Genomic DNA, 24,052 nt, shown 5'->3' on the forward strand with positions numbered 1-24,052 from the left:
CTTGGTCAGGAGGACGTGATGCTTGGTGTCACTGGGGCGAAGCTCCGGACCCCGGAGGGAGGAGCTGCTCCCCCTGATGGGAGGATGGGAGCTGGGGGTCCAGCTCTGCAGGTTTTAGCGTAGCCCTGTCCCTCAAGGCTGCCCAGGCCAGGCAGGGGTTTCTCTGCAGTCTCAGCTGGGTGAGGCCCGGCCGGGCAGGCAGGAGGGAGGAAGGCACAGTCTCCTGAGGCGGAGTTGGGGACTGACGGGGAGAGGCAGTGCTCCAGAGAGGCTCTGCACGGGGTCACCCTGCTGGCGATCAGCTGCAGAGGAGCCCTGCCCGTGGACCCGGGATTTGTGGGGGGCACTTCTGCCGGGCGGGGGGTCGGTGTCCAGGTGCTGCAGGGCACAGGGTGAGTGCCCATTGTGCCCTTGGTGGGTGCCGACTCCGCACTCAGCTCTGTGCTGATGAAGAGAACCCGCTCTTGTCCCGAAGGACTTAGGCCTGACCCCCGAGAAAAGGCCGGCACACAAAAACACCAGGGGTCAGGTGCTCAGGCCTCTAATCCCAGTACGTTAGGAGACCAAGGCCGGAGGATGGCCTGGGGCCTCAAGTTCAAGACCAGCCGGACAGCACAGCAAGACCCTGTCTCCACAAAAATAAAAAAATTGGGCCAGGAGTGGTGGCTCACTTTGGGAGGTCGTGGCAGGCAGATCATGAGGTCAGGAGTTCAAGACCAGCCTGGCTGACGTGGTGAAACCCCATCTCTACTAAAAATGTAAAAAATTAGCCGGGCGTGGTGGTGTGCACCTGTATTCCCAGCTACTCAGGAGGCTGAGGCAGGAGAACCACTTGAACCCAGGAGGTGGAGGTTTCAGTGAGCCGAGATTGCACCACAGCACTCCAGCCTGGGCCACAGAGTGAGACTCAAAAAAAAAAAAAAATAGCCGGTGTGGTAGTGCGTCATGCAGCCTCATCCAGCCTCTGAGGAACTGCAGAGACAGAGGGCAGATGGTTCAGAGGTGCAGGCCGGGGTTGGCTCACCTGCCAGCGGCTCCGGGCCCCAACCTCCTTGGCAGCCTCTGCCTCACCTGCTCACGCGGCCCTCGGGCAGCCCAGGCTGTGGGCACCAAGGGGTCCTGCCGGCTTCTCAGGCAGCAGAGTCCTCCGGGTCCTGAGTGTGGTGTGCCTTGGGAACATGCGGGAGGCAGAGAAGAACAGGAAGGGATTGAAACCGCTCCCTCCACCCACTCCTGCCCGAGGCACCAGAGGCAGCCTCAAAAAAAGCAAAAGGTCCAGCCTTCTGTGGATCTCAGGGATGCAGGAGGGGAGGCCAGGGTGGGGACAAAGGCGGGGACCAAAAAGCCGTGTGGGTTCTAGAACATTCCTAGCTGGGCCTTGATCCGTGGCACCGTCGAGGGGTGTGGCCCCTCCGGGGAGGCTGGAGAGGTGAGCTGCAGTCAGGAACCGACGGGCCCCTCTGCGGGCACTGAAGGCCAAAGATCTGACTATCAGCCTCTGGCCACAGGGCTGGGTGGCCCAGGGCCCCCACAGCATGAGGGTTCAGGGAGGAATGGCAGAAACCCCCCGCTGGGAACCAGGAGACCCCCAGCTCATCACTCCCTGATCTTGGGCACGCTGTCCTCAGCCCTTCCTGTGCCTCAGTTTCCCCTCTGTGACATGGAGATGGGAGGTTTGTTGTGAGGATTTGTGATGGTGAATCTGGGCCAAAGCTGTGGTAGCCCTGCAGGGAGGACCCCGAGGACCCCACTCACCTGGAGAGGCTGGCCGCCTGGCATTTGCAGGGCTAGGGCTAGGGCTGGGCCAGGGGACTGGCGGCTGCTCATCCTGAAGGTTCCTCCTGGCACCTGCCCCTGGTGAATCAGGGCTGCAGCCCGGCCTGGGCCTCAGGCTCTGTGACCTAATGGAACTGTCTCAATATTTTCTGCAGCTTCTGCGGTGCTGCCTGGACGCGGCCCACAGGGAGGTGGCCTGGCCACACGGAGGCTGTTTGTGAACCGATGCCAGGCACACCCTCCCCCAGGCACGAGTCTCCCCTCTGGCCTCATCCCTGCCCCACCCCACACTCAGGGAACCCCCTCCCTGTCTTTAAGGCTGATTTCCTCGGTGCGTTCCCCGGGCTGCGTGGGCCATGGCGGATAACCCGCCTGACCCCTTCCACTCGGCTGTCGGTACCCACCTGTCAGCCCCACCTGCGTGTCCCCCTGGAAGGCAGGGCCCGAGTCTCACCCACTCTGCACGTCAGGGCCTCACCCAGCAGCAATAAATGTTTGTTGAATGAACAAGGAGGCTAATACAGCCGGGGCGGGGCTGGGGGGGTGGGTGATCAGCAGGAAACAGTGATGACCGGGCCTCGGGAAGGAGCCGTGGTTACTCCCAGCAGGTGGGACCCTGCAGTCAGCCCAGATTCCTCACGGCTCCACCCTCAGGATTGGGGAAGGAGAAATCAGAATTCCTGGGAATTATCAGAAATTCTTACAATCATACGTTAGTCTGTATTCGCCCTATAACATGTTATTTTCATGTTTTTATGTAATATTGACTGGCCATCATGATAAGAGTAAACGATTTTCTGTGATAGAATCATACTAAACTTTTCGGGGCTTTTCTATTTTAAGAAGATTTAATAATAAATGTGTGGTTCAGTGTGATTTAAAACAGATCTGGAGGCCGGGCGCGGTGGCTCAAGCCTGTAATCCCAGCACTTTTGGAGGTGGAGGCAGGTGGATCACCTGAGGTCGGGAGTTGGAGACCAGCCTGGCCAACATGGTGAAACCCCATCTCTACTAAAAATACAAAAATTAGCAAGGCGTGGTGGCATGTGCCTGTAATCCCAGCTACTCAGGAAGCTGAGGCAGGAGAATCACTTGAACCCAGGAGGCAGAGGTTGCAGTGAGCCAAGATCACGCCGCTGCACTCCAGCCTGGGCAACAGGGTGAGACTCCATCTCAAAAACAAAAAAAAAAACAAAAAAAAAACCAGATCTGTACACGTGCAGGTTTCTTATAGGTAATAAAAATAAAATAAAAATAATAAACAATAAATAGGCGAGGCACGGTGGCTCACGCCTACAATCCCAGCACTTTGGGAGGTCAAGGTGGGCAGATCATGAGGTCAGGAGTTCCAGACCAGCCAGACCAACATGGTGAAATACTGTCTCTACTAAAAATACAAAAATTAGCTGGGTGCAGTGACTCACGCCTGTAGTCCCAGCTACTCAGGAGGCTGAGGCAGGAGAATTGCTTGAACCTGGGAGGCGGAGGTTGCAGTGAGTTGAGATGGGGCCACTGCACTCCAGCCTGGGTGACAGAGCAAGACTCCATCTCAAAAAAAAAATTAAAATTAAAATAAATAAAATAAAATAATAAATAAATAAAACAGATCTGGCTATGAGCCACTGGATTGCCTTTATCTTTCTTAAAATACTTCCGATGTTTATCAAGCTCTTTATTCACGATTATGGAGATCTGAGAAGTTTTGCTTAATAAGGACATTAAGTTTTAGCAGCATTTCCAAAGATAGGTAGCTTGTAGCAAACACTCGAGCACTAGAAAACGGCGTACAGGCTTCGGGGTAACGTCCAGTACCACGGTGCTCACTCCCACAGGCAAGGCTGGCACCAGGGGCTGGAAGCGCCCACCTGAGGGCTCCGAGCAGGCAGCCTCGAACACAGGGTGAGGACAGCGTAGGAGGTGTGAGGAGTCCCTGGTGCTGACATTACAGGAGGCATGCAGGCTCCCTGGTGCCAATGGCACTTGGTCTCATCATTAGCACCAGACACAGGATCGCACACATACACCCCGACAACAGCCTGGAGCCAGGCTGGCCGATTGCTGCAGCATCTCTTCCCACCCCAAAATGTTGACCTCACATGCCTCGTTTCCTGCTCCAGCTCCTGACTGGACACCCTGGAGTACTCCAACAGCAATATATGTTGTGCTAGTTGTTACGGGGGTTTTTTTTTTCTTTGAGACAGGGTCTCACTCTGTCACCCAGGCTGGAGTGCAATGGTGCAATCACAGCTCATTGCAGCCTCGACCTTGTTGGCTCAAGGGATCCTCCCACCTCGGCCTCCTGAGTAGCTGGGATTACAGGCAGGCCATAACCACTCGGCCACACTCTGCCATGCTTGGCTAATCTTTAGAAATCTTTGTAGAGACAGGGTCGTGCTGTGTTGCCAGGGCTGGTCTTGAACTCCTGGGCTGAAACAGTCCTCCTACCTCAGCCTCTCCAAGTGCTGGAATTACACTGTGAGCCACCATGGCCGGCAGTTGTTATGTTCTAATTCTCGCAAAATTATACTCCTTGTTCCTGTTTTACGAATTTCTCCATTGATTTTTCTCGGTTCAGAAAATTATATCTACTTCCTGGGAAAGGCTAGGAAGGAAGTTCTGCAGGAAAGCATCATGGAGAGCAGCCGAGCTGGTGAGACCGGTGAGGCCCATGGTGATGAGCCGCTTGTGGGGCTCGTCCGTGTCTGTGTGCATTCACGCAAACGGCAGAGACCAGACAAACTGTGCACCCAGTACCTCCCAGCCCAGAGACCTCTTTAATCAATATTTACTATATGGCCTGACCATAGTATAGATTTTTTATATAAATTAGGGTTTTTATTAGCACATTAATTCCCAATTTGGGGGCAGTACTTCTGCGGACATTTTGGAGTCACTGTGCTTTGTTAGAACCTTGCCATGGCTGAGGTTTTGCACACACGGTGTAGAAGCAAGCACTGTTATTAAAAGGGGTGTCTGGGCTGGGTGCGGTGGCTCACACCTGTAATCCCAGCACTTTGGGAAGCCAAGGCGGGTAGATCACCTGAGGTCAGGAGTTCGAGACCAGCCGGCGAACATGGTGAAACCCCGTCTCTACTGAAGATACAAAAATTAGCCTGGCGTGGTGGCACATTCCTGTAGTCCTAGCTACTCGGGAGGCTGAGGCAGGCGAATCACTTGAACCCTGGGGGTGGAGCTTGCAGTGAGCCAAGATCTCACCATTGCACTCCAGCCTGGGCGAAAGAGCAAAAGTTTGTCTCAAAAAATGAAAATTAAAAAAAAGAAACCAGCCTGGCCAACATGGTGAAACCATGTCTCTATTAAAAATACAAAAAACTAGCCGGGTATGCTGGCAGGTGCCTGTGGTCCCAGCTACTCAGGAGGCTGAGGCAGGAGAATCACTTGAACCTGGGAGGTGGAAGTTGCAGTGAGCCGAAATTGTGCCACTGCACTCCAGCCTGGGTGACAAGAGCAAAACTCTGTCATAAATAAATAAATAAATAAATAAATAAATAAATAAATAAATAAATGGAGTGTCTGGTGCAAAACACCTGGAGACTCCTGGTGTGCAGCTCTGCAGGCTGGTGTCTCTGGGCGGGGGTTCCCTGCAGGTCCCACCAAGGCAGGGCTCGAGGCAGAGGCTGATGAAAGGCAGGAATGCTTGTTCTTCAAAGATGCAGCTACAGGCCCGGTGTGGTGGCTCCTGCCTGTAATCCCAGCACTTCGGGAGGCCCAGCGAGGTGGGAGGATTGCTTGAGGCCAGGAATTTGAAACCAGCCTGGGCAATGTAGTGAGACTCCCATCTCTACTAAAAATTATAAAAATTAGCTGGGCTTGGTGGCATGTGCCTGTGGCCCCAGCTAACTCGGAAAGCTGAGGTGGGAGGATCACTTGAGCCCAGGAGTTGGAGGCTACAGTGAACTCTGATCACACCACTGCATTCCAGCCTGGGCAACACAGCAAGACCCTATCTCAAAACCAATCAACCAAACAAACAAACGAACCAAACAAAGATGTAGCTGTCCACACGGGAAGCTATATGAAGTGAGCTTTTGTTTTACTGAGACGCTTTGCTTACAAGCTGTTGCAGGAACAGCTCGCCTCCCCAGCAGGCCGGGCAGGGCTCTTTCCAGGCCTGTTGGGAACAAAAGGTGTTCCTTGCATGCTTTGGGTGTTCACTTTCGGGTGATCAGGAAACAGTGACGACCGGGCCTCGGGAAGGAGCTGTTCTTGTTCCTGGCAGGTGGGACCCTGCAGTCAGCCCAGATTCCTCACAGCTCCACCCTCAGGATTGGGGAAGGAGAAATCAGAATTCCCGGGAATTATCAGAAATTCTCACAATCATACGTTAGTCTGTATTTGTCCTATAACATGTTCTTTTCATGTTTTTAAGTAATATTGACTGACCATCATGATAAGAGTCAATCATTTTCTGTGATGGAATCATACTAAACTTTTTGGGGCTTTTCTGTTTACAAAAAAAGATTTCATAATAAATCTGTGGTTCAGTGTTATTTAAAACAGATCTGTATATGTACAGGTTTCTTACAGGTAATAAAAATAAAATAAAAATAATAAACAGTATATAAAACAGATCTGGCCATGAGCCCCTGGATTGCCTTTATCTTTCTTAAAATATTTCCAGCATTTACCAGCTGTTTATTCACCATTATGAGATCTAAGAAGTTGTGCTTAATGAGGACATCAAGTTTTAGCAGCATTTCCAAGGATAGATAGCTTGTAGCAAACACTCAAGCACTAGAAAATGGCGTATGGGCTCCAGGGTAACGTCCAGTACCGTGGTGCTCACCCCTGTAGGCAAGGCTGGCACCAGGGGCTGTGCCCACCTCAGGGCTCCGAACCACAGCGTCCTCCCTACTGGAGCCCAAGAGGCTTGTCCAGCAGGAGCCGTTCTCCTCCTTTGTTTGTATGTTTGTTTTGAGATGGAGTCTTGCTCTGTCGCCCAGGCTGGAGTGCAGTGGCACCATCTCGCCTCACTGCAACCTCAACCTCCTGGGTTCAAGCGATTCTCCTGCCTCAGCCTCCCGAGTAGCTGGGATTACAGGTGCCCACCACCACGCGCAGCTAATTTTTGTATTTTAAGTAGAAATGGGGTTTCACCATGTTGGCCAGGCTGGTCTCAAACTCCTGACCCTCAAACGATCTGCCTGCCTCGGCCTCCCAAAGTGCTGGGATTACAGGCGTGAGCCCCCACGCCCGGCCAGTTCTCCTTTTTGTCTTGGTGAAGGGCCGTGGGGTGGGGTCCACTGACCGTCAGCGAGACCGTGAGGCAGAAGCTGTCTCCTTGGTGCCCTGGCCTCCATGTCCTCTTCTGGAACCCCTGACCCTTTCCCCAGACAGACACCCAGCACTCAGCTCTTGTCCAGCTGGCTCAGGAGGCAATAACTCACTGGCACCTTGGAATGAAGTGTGCGTGAGGCCCTCCTGTACATGCCCACATGCTAAAGAGAAAACCCATGGGAGAACATTGTGCACCCCAAGGGGGTCGAGTCTTGGGAAAGGCCTGAGTTTTTGTGGTCCGTGAACCCAAAAGTATCTGAGACAAGCCTCAATCGATTTAGAAAGCATATTTTGCCCAGGTTGAGGTGTGCCTGTGACACGTCCTCAGGAGGTCCTGATGACACACGCCCAAAGTAGTCAGGGCGCAGCTTCTTCTCATACATTTCAGGGAAACAAGACACATCATCAACACACGTACGATGGCTGGGCGCAGGAGCTCACGCCTGTAATCCCAGCACTTTGGGAGGCCGAGGTGGGCAGATCACCTGGGGTCAAGAGTTCCAGACCAGCCCGGCCAACATGGAGAAACCCAGTCTCTACTAAAAATGCAAAAATCAGCTAGGTGCGGCGGCAGGTGCCTGTAATCCCAGTTATTTGGGAGGCTGAGGCAGGAGAATCGCTTGAACCTGGGAGATGGAGGTTGTAGTGAGCCAAGATCACACCATTGCACTCCAGCCTGGGCAACAGAGCAAGACTCCAACTCAAAATAAATAAATAAATATTAAAATATATACATATGTAAGATGTACATTGGTTTGGTCTAGAAAGGCAGGACAACTTGAGACAACTCGAAGCAGCGGCTTCCAGTTAATGTTGATAAGCAATAGATGGTTGCATTCTATGAGTCTCTGATCAGCCTTTCACTGAATACACAATCCACATGTGAGAGGGGGTAGGGGAAGGGCCACGTGTGCCTTAGTCTGGCTCAGTGAGACAACAGGGCCGAGGAAGCAGTCAGATATGCGTTTGTCTCAGGGGAGCAGAGGGATGGCTTTGAGTTCTGTCCTTCATCTGCACCTGTGAAGGTAAGCTGTCCACTGACATTGCCAGGGTGAAATCCCACACAACTGCTCTAGGGTAAAGATCTTGAGCCCCACGGGGAATTTCCTTGTGCACAAATTGTGAGGGAGGTGTGTGGCTTTTTTGTTTTTTTAATCTCTGTATCTGTCTTATTTGGGAATAAAATGGGAGCAGGCTCGCCTGACAGTTCCCAGTGTGACTTTTCCCTTTGGCTTAGTGACTTTGCGGTCCCAAGATTTATTTTCCTTTCACAGGTCCTTGCGAATGAACGAGGTAGCCACCCACAGTTTCATGAATGCAGGCAGAGGACACGAGACTCCTGGGTCAGATACAAAGGTCTTTATCACCCCCCAGTAGTGCAGAGTCAGGGCCAGCATGTCCGTGCACCATGGCTCCTGAGCCCCAGCTCCTGTGGGGGGATGTGAAGAGGGTGAGGTACCCCTGCAAGCAGCGGTGTGCATTGCAGGAGATGACCCTGTTGTTAGAGAACCCGAATCTTTTATAACAGGCAGTAAGCATACCTGTCCTGAGCTCCTGAGTGAGACTCTCTCTCTTTCTTCCAAGGCTGTCTGCTGTACAAGCGTCCCTGAAAAGACAACCTGAAACAAAGGCTCTGGTCAGAACTACACAGAAATACCAGAGGCCCAGGGAGAGTCACCTCCCAGCCAGAGGATCCACTGGGCTTCCACTGTGGAGCTGGATTACAGAGGAGCTTTTTGTTAGGCAGTGGACTGGGGGAGACATTTGGAAGCAAGGCCCAGGAGTGGTCAGTGCTGGCCTGGGGCAGGACAGAGCCGACTTCCCTCAGTTCACACAGACATCTCAGAGAAGCACTGGCTGGGGTCCCTCCCCACGACTGCCATCCGCAGGGGCACGGGGACAAGAGTGAGAGTAGCCTCTGCTGCTGCTTGCAAAGCCCTGGAAAAAGCCAGACCCCGGCAGAGTCAAGAGTCATAAGGAGCAGGGGCGTCCCGTGGCAGCCCCGTCCATCCCTGTCACTCTGCCTGTCACCTCCTGGGGCTTCTCTGGAAGATCTGAGGCCTCCACCCAGAGCCCCACCCAGACTGGTTCTCCTGGAAATGCCAGCTCCTCCCTCCCTGCTCCGGGGACCTGCCTTTCCCTGAACAGGCGGCTCTGTCTCAGCAAGATGGCAAGGTCAGCTCGTTCGCACTCACATGTAAATGACTGAATGACGAGAGCCTCTTGGGGCAGAGGAGGGATCAGAGGGCGGGCTGGGTCTGTCAGGACGGTTTTCTCCAGGGGACTGGGAGACGTTTCTCAGGGGCTGGGGTTGGGTGGAGGCACCTGCCTGCTCTAGCCCTGCCCAGGGGGCATGGGGGCACCCAGGGATGACCGAGGAAGGGGCTCAAGCACAGTGTGGGCCTGTGTGTGGGAAGGCAGGAGCCAGGTGGAGGCCTAAGGGGAAGGGAGTGAGTCAGGCGGGGCAGTCAGGCTTGCCTGGTGCGTCAGGAGGCAGGCCCAGGACAAGCGTGTGTGTGTGTTTGGGGGTGGGGGGGGGTGCACACTCTGCAGCTCAGCTTTTCAAGCCAGGGCTGCCTCTGTCCCCGACGCTGCCTCATCTGGGGCCGCATCTGACCCTTCCGTGGCTGCAAACAGCACCACCAGCCCCTCCTGGAGTCATCTGCCTTCCCCAGGGCTTTGGTGCCCAGGGCACCATGCAAATGTGTTCTGGGAAGGAACAGCACAGACTGTGCTCACCTGGGCCGGGAGGCAGGGCCTCAAGGCTGCATGGAGACTCGGGGCAGGGGAGAGGACTGGGGGCGCTGGGAGGATTGCGGGGGCTGGGGGGGGGCTGGGGCCACCCCCAGGTGGCTGGAAGTGAGCACAGTGGCCCAAGGCCCCTCCAGGTGAAGGAAGAGGGAAAGGTCCTGGGGACCGTCCATGCACCTGTGAGTGGGGCCAAGGCTTTGCCCCTAGGACACGGCGATCCCTGCACGGCCCAGTGCAGCGAGTGGGTGACCCGTGCAGCTCCGGTTGCTTCCCAGTTACTCTTGGCCACGCACACAGCCTGAGAGCAGGAGCTCTGCGCTGGTTTCACAGCCCTGGAGCCTGGGGGAAGAACCAGTCGCCTGCATGGGGATGGGGAGGCGCAGGGGTGCCGGGGGCCCTTCCAGGGGGTGCGGTTCTGCCATTCAAGGTCCAGAAAAATGACAGAGGAAGAAGAGTTAGAACAGATTCTGAATCGTTCCGCCTCAGCAGGAAGGAAACCCCGTCCCTGCTCCACCACTGGCGCACCTTGAGGACCTAATGCCGGGCACAGAGGGACAGGCGCTGCAGGACCCCGTGTATGCGGCTCCTAGAGTTCTCAGACCCCTGGAGACAGGAAGAAGAGTGGGGGTGCCGGGGGACAGGAGTCAGCGTTTCATGGGGACAGAGATTCAGCTTGGGAAGATGGAAAGTTCTGCGGACGATGGAGGTGATGGCTGCACATCAGTGCGAACGTGCTCCATGCCACCGAACTGTGCGCTTGAAGACGGCTGAGATGGTGCATTTTATGTTATGTTAGATGAACTTTACCACAATTTTTTAAAAAATCAAGAAGTGAAAATTTAGACCATGATCCCCAAGTGAAAGCAGATGAAAATCGGAGGAGGGGGCCGGGCGCAGTGGCTCACGCCTGTAATCCCAGCACTTTGGGAGGCCGAGGCGGGCAGATCACGAGGTCAGGAGATCGAGACCATCCTGGCTAACACGGTGAAACCCAGTCTCTACTAAAAATACAAAAAATTAGCCGGGCGCGGTGGCGGGCGCCTGTAGTCCCAGCTACTCAGGAGGCTGAGGCAGGAGAATGGCGTGAACCCGGGAGGCGGAGCTTGCAGTGAGCCGAGATCACGCCACTGCAGTCCAGCCTGGGCGACAGAGCGAGACTCCGTCTCAAAAAAAAAAAAAAAAAATCGGAGGAGGGGGTGAGGCCAGTGGAGGGCAGGGGAGGAGGAGGGCAATTTCGCTTTGGAAATCCACTCCGGGGGGCCTTGGCCGGAAGCTGGACTGCCGCGGAGGACACTGCGCCCCTGCTCTGCAGAGGAGGAATCCCAGCCGGGGGACGGGCCGCCCGAGGTCACAGAGGGGCCTGCCAGCAGGGGTGTGGCAGGAGGGCGGTGGGGAGGAGGCCAGGGCAGTGTCTGAGGCTGCGTGTGGGGGCCGTGTGTTCACCTGGGCGCCAGGGTGCAGAGGGGGGTCGCAGGGCAGATGGGGGAGGATGGGGGCTCCAGCCAGGCCTTCAGAGACCGCGCGCCTGGAGGAGCGTTTGGCATCACTCAACACTAAAGTGCAAACGTGGGCTCCAAGAGCAAGTCAAGGGTGTTACCAGCTGGGCTCTGGGAGCAAAGACAAAGGCCAGTGGCCTCCCACCCGCCGTGGCAGGACAAGCAGAGTGTGGTCTCCACGCAAGAGGCTGGAGCCTGCAGACCCGGGAGGGCCCCGGGCTGGCGTCACATAGCACAGCAATGCCAGCAGCAGCGCAGTCTCAGGCTCTCCCCGCCCCGATGATTCTCCACTCCCAACATAAGGGTCATGTGGTCTGGAGGGACCTTTGGCCCAGCTACAGGGGACCAACTCAGGGAGACCCCTCCTTGGCTCCGTGTGGGTCAAGAAGGAAAGGATGGATTCCTCGTGTCCATGTAGAGGCAGAGAGCGCTTCCAAAAAGACAGATGAGTGACCATTGCCTCGGCTGCCTGGGCCCTGAAGGGCTCCCCTGTCCTGCTGACTGTTCTGTTCTCAAGGACCTCGGAGAAATCGTGTCGCAGTTTAAGGTCCCTTCCTTGCTGCCACCCAGACTTCTCCTTCCCAAACCTTTAGTGAACAACAGCACCGGGAGAGCTCACTGAGCGTGTGCACCTGTGCACCTGTGAGCGTTGCTTGTGCGTATGTATGTGTGTACATGTGTATGTATGTACATGTAATGTAGGTGTATGTATCTGTGCGAATATGTGTGTTGTGTGTGTGTATGTATATGTGTGGGAGGGTGTGTGTATCTGTGTGAATGTGTGTGGGTGTGTGAGTGGGTGTGTTACACGTGTGTGTATATGTATATGTGCGGGAGGGTGTGTGTATCTGTGTGAATGTGTGTGGATGTGTTACACATGTATGTGTGTGTTGGTGTGTGCACACGCAGCTCTGCAGTGGGCCTGGCCTCGCCTGGTCCTGGGGGAGGCCAGGACCGTGGAGTTCTAGAGGGGGCACCAAGGGCCCGTGTGTCCGCGTGGAGCTGGACATGCTTCTGTGGGCCAGGCACCCTGACCCTGATCCTCTCCAGTGAAGAGGCCGGGGGCAGGCGGAACTGGGTCAGGCTCCAGGACACAGCCTCACCCTATCAGGGCAGCGAGGGCTGGGGCGGACAGGGGAGCCGTAGACAGCCCGTCCCTGGGTGGGCCTGGCCTTCCCGGCCCTGACTCAGCGTGAAGGGGCAGACAGGGCGCGGCCGCCCACGGGGATTCCCAGTTCCAGCCCAAACCCCACCTTTTGCTGGCTGCAGGCCCAGGGCCCAGCCCCTCCCAGCGCCCGGTGAGGCCCCAGGTGAGACCTAAAGATCCTCGGCGGGGACGGAGGATGCACGTACCTTCCGAGACAGGGTCGCTGCTGGCGGCAGGAGGGGCTCCCGGCCCTGCCTTCCTTCCCAGGGGCTGGACCAGGCAGTGCTGGGCTTGGTTCTCAACCTTGCCTGAGAAAAAGCGTGAAAAGTGCACACAGGGCTCTGGGGCCTGCGGAGCTCATGGCCCCCTGAGGGCAGGGAGAGCTGCTGCCCGGCCGAGCCTCTGCTCCCACGGTCTCAGGCCCTCCCCGCCCTGATGAGTCTCCGCTCCCAACACAAGGGCCACGTGGTCTGGAGGGACCTTTTGCCCAGCTGCAGGGGCCATCTCAGGGAGACCCCGCCTTGGAGGACTTGTTCTCCGGATCTCCAGACGTTTAGGCTGAAAGTGCAGAGATTTAGAAGTCGGACAGGGAGTTGGGGAGCAGCGCTGTGCACGTTCCACTCACCTGAACGGCATCGTCTGAGTCGCGTTTGATAAAATTCGTAGGAGGCCACTGGTCTGGCCTGAGCTCCTGCAGGAGGCCTGGCAGAACAGACCAAAACGCAGCCACTCGTGCTAGAGCTCCACGTCATCAAGCCAAAACTAACTTGTTCATCTCACCTTCCAGGAAACCAGGAGACAGAGAATAGCCCCAAACAAGCCAGGTCTTGCCGGCATGATGAGGAAGTCCCCTCTGCTGGAACCTTCCAAGGAAAACCTCTTGGAAATGACCGATCTGCTTTTTGTTCTGTGTCTGCTTCCTCAGCCCCTTTCTGTCTACAAAACCAACCTCCTCTACCCAGCACGCCAGAGCCCTCGTTCTGTTTTATAGAATGATCTGTGCCTGGTTCTAGAATTGCAAAAAGAGCCATTAAGACCATTCAACTGGGGCCGGGCGCGGTGGCTCACGCCTGTAGTCCCAGCACTTCGGGAGGCCGAGGCAGGCGGATCACCTGAGGTCAGGAGTTCAAGACCAGCTTGACCAACGTGGTGAAACACCATCTCTACTAAAAATACAAAATTAGCCCGGCGTGGTGGTGCATGCCTGTAATCCCAGCTACTTGGGAGGCTGAGGAAGGAGAATCGCTTGAACCAGGGAGGCAGAGATTGTGGTGAGCCAAGATCGCGCCATTGCACTCCAGCCTGGGTGACGAGAGTGAAACTCCATCTCAAAAAAACAAAAACAAAAACAAAAACTTTCAATTGTGGCTGGGCACAGTGGCTCACGCCTGTAATCCCAGCACTTTGGGAGACCGAGGCGGGCAGATCACCTGAGGCCAGGAGTTCGAGAACAGCCTAGCCAATGTGGTGAGACCCCATCTCTACTAAAAATGCAGAAATTAGCCAGATGCAGTGGAGCACGCCTGTAATCCCAGCTACTCAGGAGGCTAAGGCAGGAGAATCACTTGAACCCAGGAGGCGGAGGTTGCAGTGAGCTGAGATTGTGCCACTGCACTCCCGCCTGGGTGACAGGGTGAGATTCCATCTCAAAATTAAAAAAAAAAAAAAATCTTTCATTTGGCTGCCTTTTTTTTTTTTTTTTTTTTTTTGCCAGAGTCTCACCCTGTTGCCCAGGCTAGAGTGCAGTGGTATGATCTCAGCTCACTGCAACTTCCGCCTCCCAGGTTCAAGTGATTGTCCTGCCTCAGCCTCCTGAGTAGCTGGGACTATAGGCGCCTGCCACCATGCCAGGCTAATTTTTTTTTGTATTTTTAGTAGAGACGGGGGTCTCACCACGTTGGCCAGGCTGGTCTTGAACTCCGGACCTCAGGTTATCCTCCCGCTTTGGCCTCCCGAAGGGCTGGGATTACAGGCATGAGCCACCTCACCTGGCCTTGGCTGCAATTTCTCTTGCCAGTTGTAAGCTTAGCGATGGTCTCTGGCTTGTAGAGGAGCCTCCAGGGTGACTCGATTAGCCCCTACTCACTTGTGTGGTTGTACCTTCATTCTTTTCCAGCAGACAAGCCTGTGCTGAGCACCTGCTGTGTGCCAGCGACTGTCTGAGTTGCACAGCTGATACGGGACCCAGGCTTGGACCTGCACGGCTGCCAGCCACTGAGCCTGGAGTGCCACAAGCAGGGTTCAGTCGCCATCGTGGGAATGCCACGCAGGAGATGCATGGGTTTCAGCGTGCCATGAGGATGAACCCAACCTACAGAAATGATCATTATTTAGACTGAACTCTGAAAAAGTAGAGGGGTTTAGCCAGGGAGTGGTAATGGGGGGACAGACAGGCCGTGGTGGGAAGGGAGGGAGGGGACCCCAGGCAGAGGGAGCAGCCTGTGAGGAAGAGCAAGGACACCGTGATTCTTGGACTGTGGTGGCCGAGAGTGGCTCAGACTCCCTGGCTAGGGAAGCGGGGACGCCTGCTTTCTTCTGGGAGCCCTGCCCCACACAGTGGAGTCTGAGGGTATTTTAAGCTGAGGACCAGATTCTGAACAGCGGTGACCCTCCCCTAGAGCCCAGCCCTTATGGTGGGAGAAGCCCCAGTCATCCGGGGAGGCATGTGATGCCAGCCCGGCCCCCAGCAGCCAGTGCCAGGCCTGCGAGCGGGTATCCTGGGGGAGCCCCGGCCAGCATCTGCCTTCACTTCAGGAGAGGAGAGCCTCCCAACAGAGCCCCGTCTCCCGGAGCCCTCAGAGAGCTCTGCCACCATTGCTTTAAGACAACATAACCAGAGCCAGTGGGAACCCTTCCAGTTCTGGGGCGGGTGCAGGACTCCCACTTCCCTTAACTCAGTCTTCAAGAGTCCCTCCAGCCTGCGAGACCGTGGTGGGCACCTGGTGAACCATTGAACCCCAACATCCCTATGGAAGCCCTGCACAGTGAAAGTCCCAAGAAAAATATCTGTGAAATGAGTAAAGGGTTATTCTCAGTTTACAACAAAGACTTGAGGTGAAGAGAGAGTGAAGGATGTGAATATCACCCAGCCTCGAGGATTGCGGCCAGAGCTGGAACGGGGTCCTGGACTCCACCGTCCTCCCTGCAGCTGGGGCTGGAACGGGGTCCTGGACTCCACCGTCCTCCCTGCAGCTGGGGCTGGAACGGGGTCCTGGACTCCACCGTCCTCCCTACCCCACGCTGTCTTCTTCCAACCCCCTGCCTTTTTTTTTTTTTTTTTTTTTTTTGAGATGGAGTCTCACTCTGTTGCCCAGGCTGGAGGGCAGTGGCACGGTCTTGGCTCACTGCAACCTCCACCTCCCAGGTTCAAGTGATTCTCCTGCCTCAGCCTCCAGAGTAGCTGGGATTACAGACATGCGCCACCACACCCGGCTAATTTTTGTATTTTTAGTACAGACGGGGTTTCACCATCTTGGCCAGGCTGGTCTTGAACTCCTTATGTGATCGACTTGCCTCAGCTTCCCAAAGTGCTGGGATTGCAGACCTGAGCCACCACGCCTGGCCTTTTTCTTTCTTTCTTTCTTTTTTTTTTTTTTTGGAAACGGAGTTTCACTCTTGTTGCCCAGGCTGGAGTGCAGTGGCGCGATCTCAGCTCACTGCAACCTCTGCCTCTTGGATTCAAGCGATTCTCCTGCCTCAGCCTCCCAAGTAGCTGGGATGACAGGCATGCGCCACCATGCCTGACTAATTTTGTACTTTTAGTAGAGACGGGGGTTTCTCCATGTTAGTCAGGGTGATCTCGAACTCCCAACCTCAGGTGATCCGCCCACTTCAGCTTCCCACAGTGCTGGGATCACAGGCGTGAACCACCACGCCTGGCCTCCCCCAACCACTTTCACCTTGTGTTTCCCTCCTTGGGAGAACAGCGGATTTTATTTTATTTTATTTTATTTTATTTTTTGTCACCCAGGCTGGAGTGCAGTGGTGTAATCTCAGCTCACTGCAACCTCCGCCTCCCGGGCTTAAGTGATCCTCCTGCCTCAGCCTCCTGAGTAGCTGGGACTACAGGCGCCTGCCACTATGTCTGGCTAAGTTTTTGTATTTTTAGTGGAGGTTTCACCTTTTTGGCCAGGCTGGTCTCGAACTCCTGACCTCAAGTGATCCACCCGCCTCGGCCTCCCAAAGTGCTGGGATTACAGGCGTGAGCCACTGCGCCCCGCCTGAACAGCAGATCTTTATTTTCCGTTCATTTCTTTCACTAATTCAGGTTATCGATTGCCATGCTGCTCTCAGGAGGGGATAACCCAATCTCAGGGAATTCCCCTAGGGGAACACTGTTTCTCCGTCTCCCATCCTAGGCTCTGAATTCCCCAGTGATTTCAGAGGAAGTTTCTGATAAGCCAAAAACAAAGACACATAATCCAGCGGAAAGCCTCCTGTGGCTCTGACGGGCGAGAATATCCCCGGTGATTTGGACACACGCACCTCTTCCTGGCGGGGTATTTGATTAAGGAAGAAACTCCCTGTGTTATGTAAGATCTGTGTCATCTGATCCATCAGGGTTTCTTGTCCAGATGCTCAGGCTGAAGAGGTACCGTCGGTCCGAGGTCACTGCCTGGCAAGCGAAGGCCATGATGGTGGGTTGGATGGGTCATAGGTCACGGTCATGGGCTCCAGGCCCTCAGACCCCACCTCCAAATGCCCGGTCATCCTGCTAAGATGTTTATAGCATACATCGTATTTAACCTTTGAAGGTGTTAGATACAGTCAACATGGTAGTTCCATATTTTGAGTACGAGAACCACGTTTAACATCAAGAGATTATCATGTCCTCTCAACTGGTCATGGTTATAATTTTGTTATTTATTGAAAGAGAAAATTCTGAGGGACTCCAAAACCACTATAAATTCAGGAACATTTACAGGAGCTTGTGTCTCATTCATTTGAACAGCCCGTATATTTCATTTCTTACCTTGGAGGACTCCTGTTGTTCACCCACAAGGCTTGCTGTGTTCAGGAACTTCCAAATCTTAGAGTGAGGCAGCCACGTCCAGGGGCTGAGGTCCGCTGTGAGGAGCCCCTCAGCTGCAGGTGCCAGGGTGGGGATGCGTTCAGACAGCCTTGAAGGGCCGTGGGCCACCCTGTGGGTGCAGATGAGCTTCACATGGGTTGTTGTGCGTTAAATTGTCCCCCAAAAGATGCGCCGAAGGCCCAGTGCCTCTGCGTTTTAGGAAGCAGGGTTGGTGTCTGTGTAATTAGTTAAGAAGAGGTTGTATTGGATTAGGGTGGGCCCCAAATCGTGTTCTTAGAAGAAGAAGGAAATGGCTGGGTGCGGTGGCTCACACCTGTAATCCCAGCACTTTGGGAGCCGGAGGCGGGCAGATCATGAGGTCAGGAGTTTGAGACCAGCCTAACCAACATGACAAAACCCCATCTCTACTAAAAATACGAAAATTAGCCAGGCGTGGTGGCGGGCACCTGTAATCCCAGCTACTCAGGAGGCTGAGGCAAGAGAATCACTTGAACCCGGGAGGTGGAGGTTGCAGTGAGCTGAGATTGTACCACTGCACTCCAGCCTGGGCAACAGAGTGAGACTCCGTCTCAAAAAAAAAAAAAAAAAAAAAAAAAAAAAAAGAAGAAGAAGAGGGAATTGAGACACAGGGACAGGGAGGAGGCTCTGTGACAACAGGCAGAGAGGGGACGGCTGCGTCCACAAGCGGGGAGGGCCGAGGGTTTCCAGCGCCCCCCAGAGGCCAGAGGCGCCCACAGAACAGGCTTCCTCCAGGAGGAGGCACTTCTGCTGACGCTAATTTCACTCCCAGCCTCCAAGACTGTGAGAGGAGGAACCTCTGTTGTTTGGAGCCACGTGCAGTGATTTTACAGCCGCCTGGGAAACGCATACAGTGGTCCTGTGCTCTTAGCCTTTCATTGAAAGAGTCCACATGCGGTTGCTAGAAAGCACACGGAGCCCTTTGCCCAGGCCCCTCCACGGTGGCGTCGTGCGGAATCACCGCATGGCGTTCCCGCCAGCACGGCCACAGAGACACAGCCACGCCTCTTGTCAGGCCTCCTGGTGTTTCTTGTACTTGTGTGTGCTGCGTATGTGTCTCTATGTATGTGTGGTGTGGTGTGTGTATGTGGTGTGATGTGGTGTGGTATGGTGTGGTGTGTGGCATATGTGTGTGGTGTGTGTGGTGTGTGGCATGCTGGGTAGTGTGTGGTATGTGGTGTATAATGCTGCGTGGTGTGTGGTGTGTGTGTGTTCTGTGGTGTATGGTGTGTGTGGGTGTGATATGTGTGTGGTGTGTGTGGTGTGTAGTGTGTGGTGTATTGTGTTGTGTGGTGTGTGTTGTGTGGTGGTGTGTGGTGTTGCCTGGTGTGTGTGTGCTGTGTAATGTGTGTTGTGTTGTGTGTGGCGTGTTGTGTTTGTGTGCTGGCTGGTGTGTGATGTGTGGTGTGCTGTGTGTGTGGTGTGTGTGGAGTGGTGTGTTGTGTGTGGTGTGTGTGATATGATGTGTGTATGCTATGTGTGGTGTGTCATGTGTTGTGTATGTTTGTGTGTGCTGGGTGGCATGTGGTGTGTGTGTGCTGTGTGGCGTGTCATGGGTAGTGTGTGATATGCTGGGTGGTGTGTGGTGTGTGCATGGTATGTGGTGTGTGTGTGGTGTGTGGTGTGCGGTGTGCGTTGTCTGGTGTGTGGTGTGTGTGGTGTGTGGTGTGGTGTGTGTGGTGTGTGGTGTGTTGTGTGTGTGGTGTGGTGTGTGTGGTGTGTGTGGTGTGTGGTGTGTGTGGTGTGGTGTATGGTGTGTGTGGTGTGTTGTGTGGTGTGTGCGGTGTGTTGTGTGGTGTGTGTGGTGTGTGGTGTGTGATGTGTGTGGTGTGTGTGGTTTGTATTGTGCGGTGTGTGTGGTGTGTTGTGCTGTGTGTATGGTGTGTGGTGTGTGTGTTGTGCGGTGTGTGTGGTGTGTGGTGTGTGGTGTGTGCAGAGGCTTCTAGTTCTCTACGACTCCACCACCCATGGGTGCTCACAAGCTCCCTCTACAGGAGCGGCTCCGCCCCGCCCTGCACCCAGCACCCCTCCCCACGTGGGACCCTCCCCACGTGGGACCCTCCGCCCTGCTCTAACCCTGCCGGCGGCGCCGCCCTCCACGTCTGAGATTCTGTCATTTCCGCTGTGCTCTGTGAGTGGCATCAGGCCGCAGGTCGCCTTTGGGGGTGGCTTCCCACACAGCCGAGGCCCCAGAGGCTGCCTTGAGCGTGGCGGGGGCCAGGAGTCCGGGGCGGGGGAGCCCGGGGTTTGCTCCTCGGGACGGAGGAAGATTCCAGGCTCAGCCGCCTCCAGTCTGCAGCCCTGCGAACCGCCTGCCACGCGCATTCCTGAGCAGGGCTCTGCAGGGCGCGGCGTGCACGGCTCTGGAACCTGCCAGGATGCGCTGATGTGGCAACTCACTCAGGGTGGCATCGTTCCATGGGCAAGCACCCCTTAGAGAAATGAGGAATGACTCAGATGATCGGCTTCTACGAGTCTCTGCTGCCATTTTAGGGGCCCCGTAAGGTTCCAGCTGTTTTTTGTTTTGCTTTGTTTGCTGTTTGGTTGGACGACAACGTGAGTAGGACTCCTGTCCCAAGGGGAGGACGCGTCCAGCCCGCCCGCCACGTGTCCAGCCTGCTCTCCGGAGCTGCACCAGAGCCTGTGTGGAAAGGAGAAGACGCAGCTCTCCCTGGGAGAGGCCTCAGCACAGCGATGCGAACCTCTCACACGCATGCAGAATTCTCCCACGTGTGTCAGGGAGCCCAGGTCCACCTCCCAGGAAGGCCGGCTCCCCAGCGTCCAGCACGTGGCCTGCTCTGCAGGGGAGCGGGAGGCCGGGGTCCCCCACACAGCTTCTCTCCGTCCACCTGCGCGGAGGCTCCTGCACAGGAACCCTGGTGAGAAAACACCCGCGGTGGGAGGAGAGCGCACGCCGGTGTTGCACACGCTCCCGTGTCACTTTCCCTGGTGGTCTAAAGACATGGTATTCACTCACCAACATCCCACTGCATTGTTCGGAAATAAAAATGCCATTAGTCCTGCCTCTGTCAGGCTGAAAGCAGTCACGGCCCTGGAACCAAGAATGGCTTTTACATCTATGGAGGGTTGCAAAAGACAAACAAGGGAAGGAGGATCACTTGAGGCCATGAGTTTGAGACCAGCCCAGACAACAAAGCAAGATCTCATCTCTACAAGAAAAAAAAAAGGCCGGGAACAGTGGCTCACGCCTGTAATCCCAGCACTTTGGGGCTGGCAAATTGCTTGAACCCAGGAGTTTGGGACCAGCCTGGGCAACATGGTGAAACCCATCTCTACTAAAAAATACAAAAAAGTAGCTGCTCAGGAGGCTACGGTGGGAGGATCACCTGAGCCCTGGAAGTCAAGGCTGCAGTGAGCCGTGTTCACGCCACTACACTCCAGCCTGGGTGACAGGAGTGAAACTGTCAAAAAACAAACAAACAAACAAAAAACTAGCCTGGCATTGTGGTGAATGCCTGTATTCCCAGCTACTTGGGGCAGGAAGATCGCTGGAGCCCATGTTCGAGGCTGCAGTGTGTGGAGAGCTATTATTACACCACTGCACTCCAGCCTGGGTAACAGTGATCCTGTCTCAAAATACATACATATATCTAGCAAGTAATTCAGATCATGTTGATTTAAAGACAACACAGCTGAATATACGATGGCAAGAACAAAATGTATGACTCCAATATATAATATGAAACCTTAGAGCATTTATTCCCCTTGGCTAAGAGGGTCTGAATTCCTTTCGCAGGGCTGCCAGAACAACATCCCACAGACTGGGCAGCTTAAACAAGAGATTGAGCGTCTCGCACTCTGCAGTCTGGAAGGCCAAGGTCAAGGTGTAGGCAGGGCTGGTTCCTCAGTGGCTCTGCAGGACGACTGTGTCCCAGGCTACTTCCCTTTGCTGATCGATGGCCCTTGGCCCTCTGTGTCCTCACAGGGTGGCCCTTCTGTGCACGTCTGCATCCTGATCTCTTCTGGTAAGGACCCCAATCGGATTGGAAGAGGGCCCACCCTAATGGCCTCCTTTTGGCTTAATGATCTCTCGGGAGACCCTGTCTCCAGGTACAGTCACATTCTGGGTACTGGGAGTTGGGCTTGAACACAGGGCTTGGAGAGCACTGTTTTGCCCATAACAGGGCCTCTGGGGAAAAGTTCAAAAATCTGTCAAAAGAAGGAGAAGACAGGAGAATCGCATCGCTTGAACCCGGGAGGCGGAGGTTGCAGTCAGCCAAGATTGCGCCACTTCACTCCAGCCTGGGCGACAGAGGAAGACTCTGTCTCAAAAAAAAAAAAAAAAAAAAAAAAAAAGAACGGTAGATCCTTCTGTTCTGCCTGGAAGGTTGTCCACGAGGCCTTAGTGAGTGAAAGAGCCGTTCTGGGGGCGTCTAAACTGTATGTTCCCATGTGTATGTTCAGGCTACTGACCTGTAGCTCGAGTGGAATTGCAGGGGCCTGTCTGCATCATAGACAGGGCACACTTTGAATTTTCCTGACAACGTGCGTTTTATCTATTATAGGCACACATTTTAAAAACTGGAAATGGAAACCAGAGCAAACACACGAAAACAAAAACCCCCAAACAGATGAGTAAGGGAAACCACTCAGTATGTGTAAACCGTGCCACCAACGTTCCAGTTCACAGCAGCCAGATCACAGGAAGCTGCCTGGCACAGGCGCCCACTTCCTGGTGTCGGGTGGCCCAGAAACCGCCTTGTCATCAGCGTTGCTTGGTGAGCACAGCCCCAGGCACAGCCCCAGGGCTCGACTGTCTTTCTGAGCCCAACTCCCTCCTGGTGGGAACATTCAGTATGTCTTCCTCGGAGGAGGCCATGTCAACCCTGACCCAGCCACTCCCTCTATCTTCTTCTTCTTCTTCTTCTTCTTTTGAGACTGAATGTCGCTCTGTCGTCCAGGCTGGAGTGTCGTGGTGTGATCTCGGCTCGCTGTAACCTCTGCCTTCTGGGTTCAAGTGATTCTCCTGTCTCAGCCTCTCAAGTAGCTGGGACTACAGGCACGAGCCACCATGCCCAACTAATTTTTGTATTTTTAGCAGAGGTGGAGTTTCACTATGTTGGTCAGGATGGTCTCGATCTCTTGACCTCATGATCTGCCTGCCTCGGCCTCCCAAAGTGCTGGGATTACAGGCATGAGCCACCACGCCCGGCCCTGTATTTTTTATTTTTTATTTTTTATTTAGTAGAGATGGGTTTTTCTCATGTCGCCCAGGCTGATCTTGAGCTCAGGCAATCCACCTGCCTTGGTCTCCCTAAATGCTGGGATTATAGGCACGAGCCGCTGCGCCCGGCCGATCTGCCCTTCTTTTTTTGTTTGTTTGTTTGTTTGTTTGTTTTGAGACGGAGTCTCCCTCTGTCTCCCAGGCTGGAGTGCAGTGGCGCAATCTCAGCTCACTGCAAGCTCCGCCTCCTGGATTCAGGCCATTCTCCTGCCTCAGCCTCCCGAGTAGCTGGGACTACAGGCACCTGCCACCACGCCCAGCTAATTTTTTCGTATTTTTAGTAGAGACGGGGTTTCACCGTGTTAGCCAGGATGGTCTCGATCTCCTGACCTCGTGATCCGCCCGCCTCAGCTTCCCAAAGTGCTGGGATTACAGGCATGAGCCACCGCGCCCGGCCTCTGCCCTTCTTTTCAGTTGCTGCATAGTCTCCATTGCATGGTCCTACTGTGTCCATCTCATCAGTTCCTTAGGAATTAGTGCTTAGGGTAGCTGCAGTCTCTGCCACTCTCACCATGGCTGCAGAGCGTGTCCCGGCATATATTTAATGTGTTTCACTTTGTCTACTCCTGCAAATGGATCTGCAGACGTTCCTGTCAGTGGAATTGTTAGGTCAAAGACGATGCATGTCTTCCTCTGAGTATTGATTGTCACGTCTCTCACACTGACATATGCTACTGATTGCAAATCTATGTGGATGCTGCTGTATCAAATAACATTCAAATTAGTCGCAAAGGAAAAGAGAGATGGATTCCTTTCATATGAATTGTCCAACATAGGCAGGTGCACGGGGACAAAGTGGAAGAAGGGGAGAGCCTGTGATGGATCTGAGGTGGTTGTTGTTTTTGTTTTGTTTTACTGCTCCTTGTGGGGTAGGTCCTCCTCGTAGACAGTGTGCCCAGCATAGCCCAAGGTTTCTTTCTTTCTTTTTTTTTTTTCTTTTTGAGACAGAGTCTCACTCTGTCGCCCAGGCTGGAGTGTAGTGGTGGGATCTCGGTTCACTGCAACCTCCGCCTCCCGGGTTCAAGCGATTCTTCTGCCTCAGCCTCCTGAGTAGCTGGGACTACAGGCATGTGCCACCGTACCTGGCTCATTTTTGCATTTTTGGTAGAGACGGTGTTTCACCATATTGGCCAGGCTGGTCTTGAACTCCTGACCTTGTAATCCGCCCACCTTGGCCTCCCAAAGTGCTGGGATTACAGGCATGAGTCACTGCGCCCGGCCTGCTTTTCATATTTTAGAGATGGGTCTGGTGATGTTGCCCAGGCTGGAGGGCACTGGCCATGGTCAGC

The 24,052-nt window shown here is 54.5% G+C and overlaps 1 protein-coding gene across 1 annotated transcript, besides 8 other annotated features; it reads right to left on the reverse strand.

Annotated features, from left to right (window-relative positions):
* Positions 1,610-2,563: an enhancer, noted in NCBI's record as "H3K27ac-H3K4me1 hESC enhancer chr7:157074692-157075645 (GRCh37/hg19 assembly coordinates)". NCBI's record gives its function as "activates a minimal SCP1, AML or CMV promoter by ChIP-STARR-seq in primed H9 embryonic stem cells {active_cell/tissue: H9 hESC(primed)}" and the evidence as "EXISTENCE:reporter gene assay evidence [ECO:0000049][PMID:30033119]".
* LOC124901803 (uncharacterized) lies at positions 7,852-14,720 on the reverse strand. Its single transcript, XM_047421169.1, has 4 exons — positions 14,648-14,720; positions 13,094-13,209; positions 12,675-12,776; positions 7,852-8,693 (listed from the first exon to the last, which is right to left on the reverse strand). The coding sequence occupies exons 1-4, from the start codon at positions 14,718-14,720 to the stop codon at positions 8,343-8,345; spliced, it is 642 nt and encodes a 213-aa protein (XP_047277125.1). The 3' UTR covers positions 7,852-8,342.
* Positions 8,831-9,438: an enhancer, noted in NCBI's record as "H3K4me1 hESC enhancer chr7:157081913-157082520 (GRCh37/hg19 assembly coordinates)". NCBI's record gives its function as "activates a minimal SCP1, AML or CMV promoter by ChIP-STARR-seq in naive H9 embryonic stem cells {active_cell/tissue: H9 hESC(naive)}" and the evidence as "EXISTENCE:reporter gene assay evidence [ECO:0000049][PMID:30033119]".
* Positions 9,439-10,044: an enhancer, noted in NCBI's record as "H3K4me1 hESC enhancer chr7:157082521-157083126 (GRCh37/hg19 assembly coordinates)". NCBI's record gives its function as "activates a minimal SCP1, AML or CMV promoter by ChIP-STARR-seq in naive H9 embryonic stem cells {active_cell/tissue: H9 hESC(naive)}" and the evidence as "EXISTENCE:reporter gene assay evidence [ECO:0000049][PMID:30033119]".
* Positions 11,325-11,938: an enhancer, noted in NCBI's record as "H3K4me1 hESC enhancer chr7:157084407-157085020 (GRCh37/hg19 assembly coordinates)". NCBI's record gives its function as "activates a minimal SCP1, AML or CMV promoter by ChIP-STARR-seq in naive H9 embryonic stem cells {active_cell/tissue: H9 hESC(naive)}" and the evidence as "EXISTENCE:reporter gene assay evidence [ECO:0000049][PMID:30033119]".
* Positions 19,761-19,935: a silencer, noted in NCBI's record as "fragment chr7:157092843-157093017 (GRCh37/hg19 assembly coordinates)". NCBI's record gives its function as "represses an EF-1alpha promoter that drives an FKBP-Casp9 reporter gene in an ReSE screen in phorbol 12-myristate 13-acetate-treated (for megakaryocytic differentiation) K562 erythroleukemia cells {active_cell/tissue: K562(+PMA)}" and the evidence as "EXISTENCE:reporter gene assay evidence [ECO:0000049][PMID:32094911]".
* Positions 21,067-21,361: a silencer, noted in NCBI's record as "tiled region #5233; HepG2 Repressive non-DNase unmatched - State 3:PromF, and K562 Repressive DNase matched - State 9:DNaseU". NCBI's record gives its function as "represses a minimal TATA promoter and a strong SV40 promoter by Sharpr-MPRA in HepG2 and K562 cells {active_cell/tissue: HepG2 | K562}" and the evidence as "EXISTENCE:reporter gene assay evidence [ECO:0000049][PMID:27701403]".
* Positions 21,943-22,072: an enhancer, noted in NCBI's record as "active region_26923". NCBI's record gives its function as "activates an Ori minimal core promoter by ATAC-STARR-seq in GM12878 lymphoblastoid cells {active_cell/tissue: GM12878}" and the evidence as "EXISTENCE:reporter gene assay evidence [ECO:0000049][PMID:35858748]".
* Positions 22,283-22,552: an enhancer, noted in NCBI's record as "active region_26924". NCBI's record gives its function as "activates an Ori minimal core promoter by ATAC-STARR-seq in GM12878 lymphoblastoid cells {active_cell/tissue: GM12878}" and the evidence as "EXISTENCE:reporter gene assay evidence [ECO:0000049][PMID:35858748]".

The sequence above is a fragment of the Homo sapiens genome, chromosome 7, assembly GCF_000001405.40.
Source record: "Homo sapiens chromosome 7, GRCh38.p14 Primary Assembly".
Taxonomy (NCBI): Eukaryota; Metazoa; Chordata; class Mammalia; order Primates; family Hominidae; genus Homo; species Homo sapiens.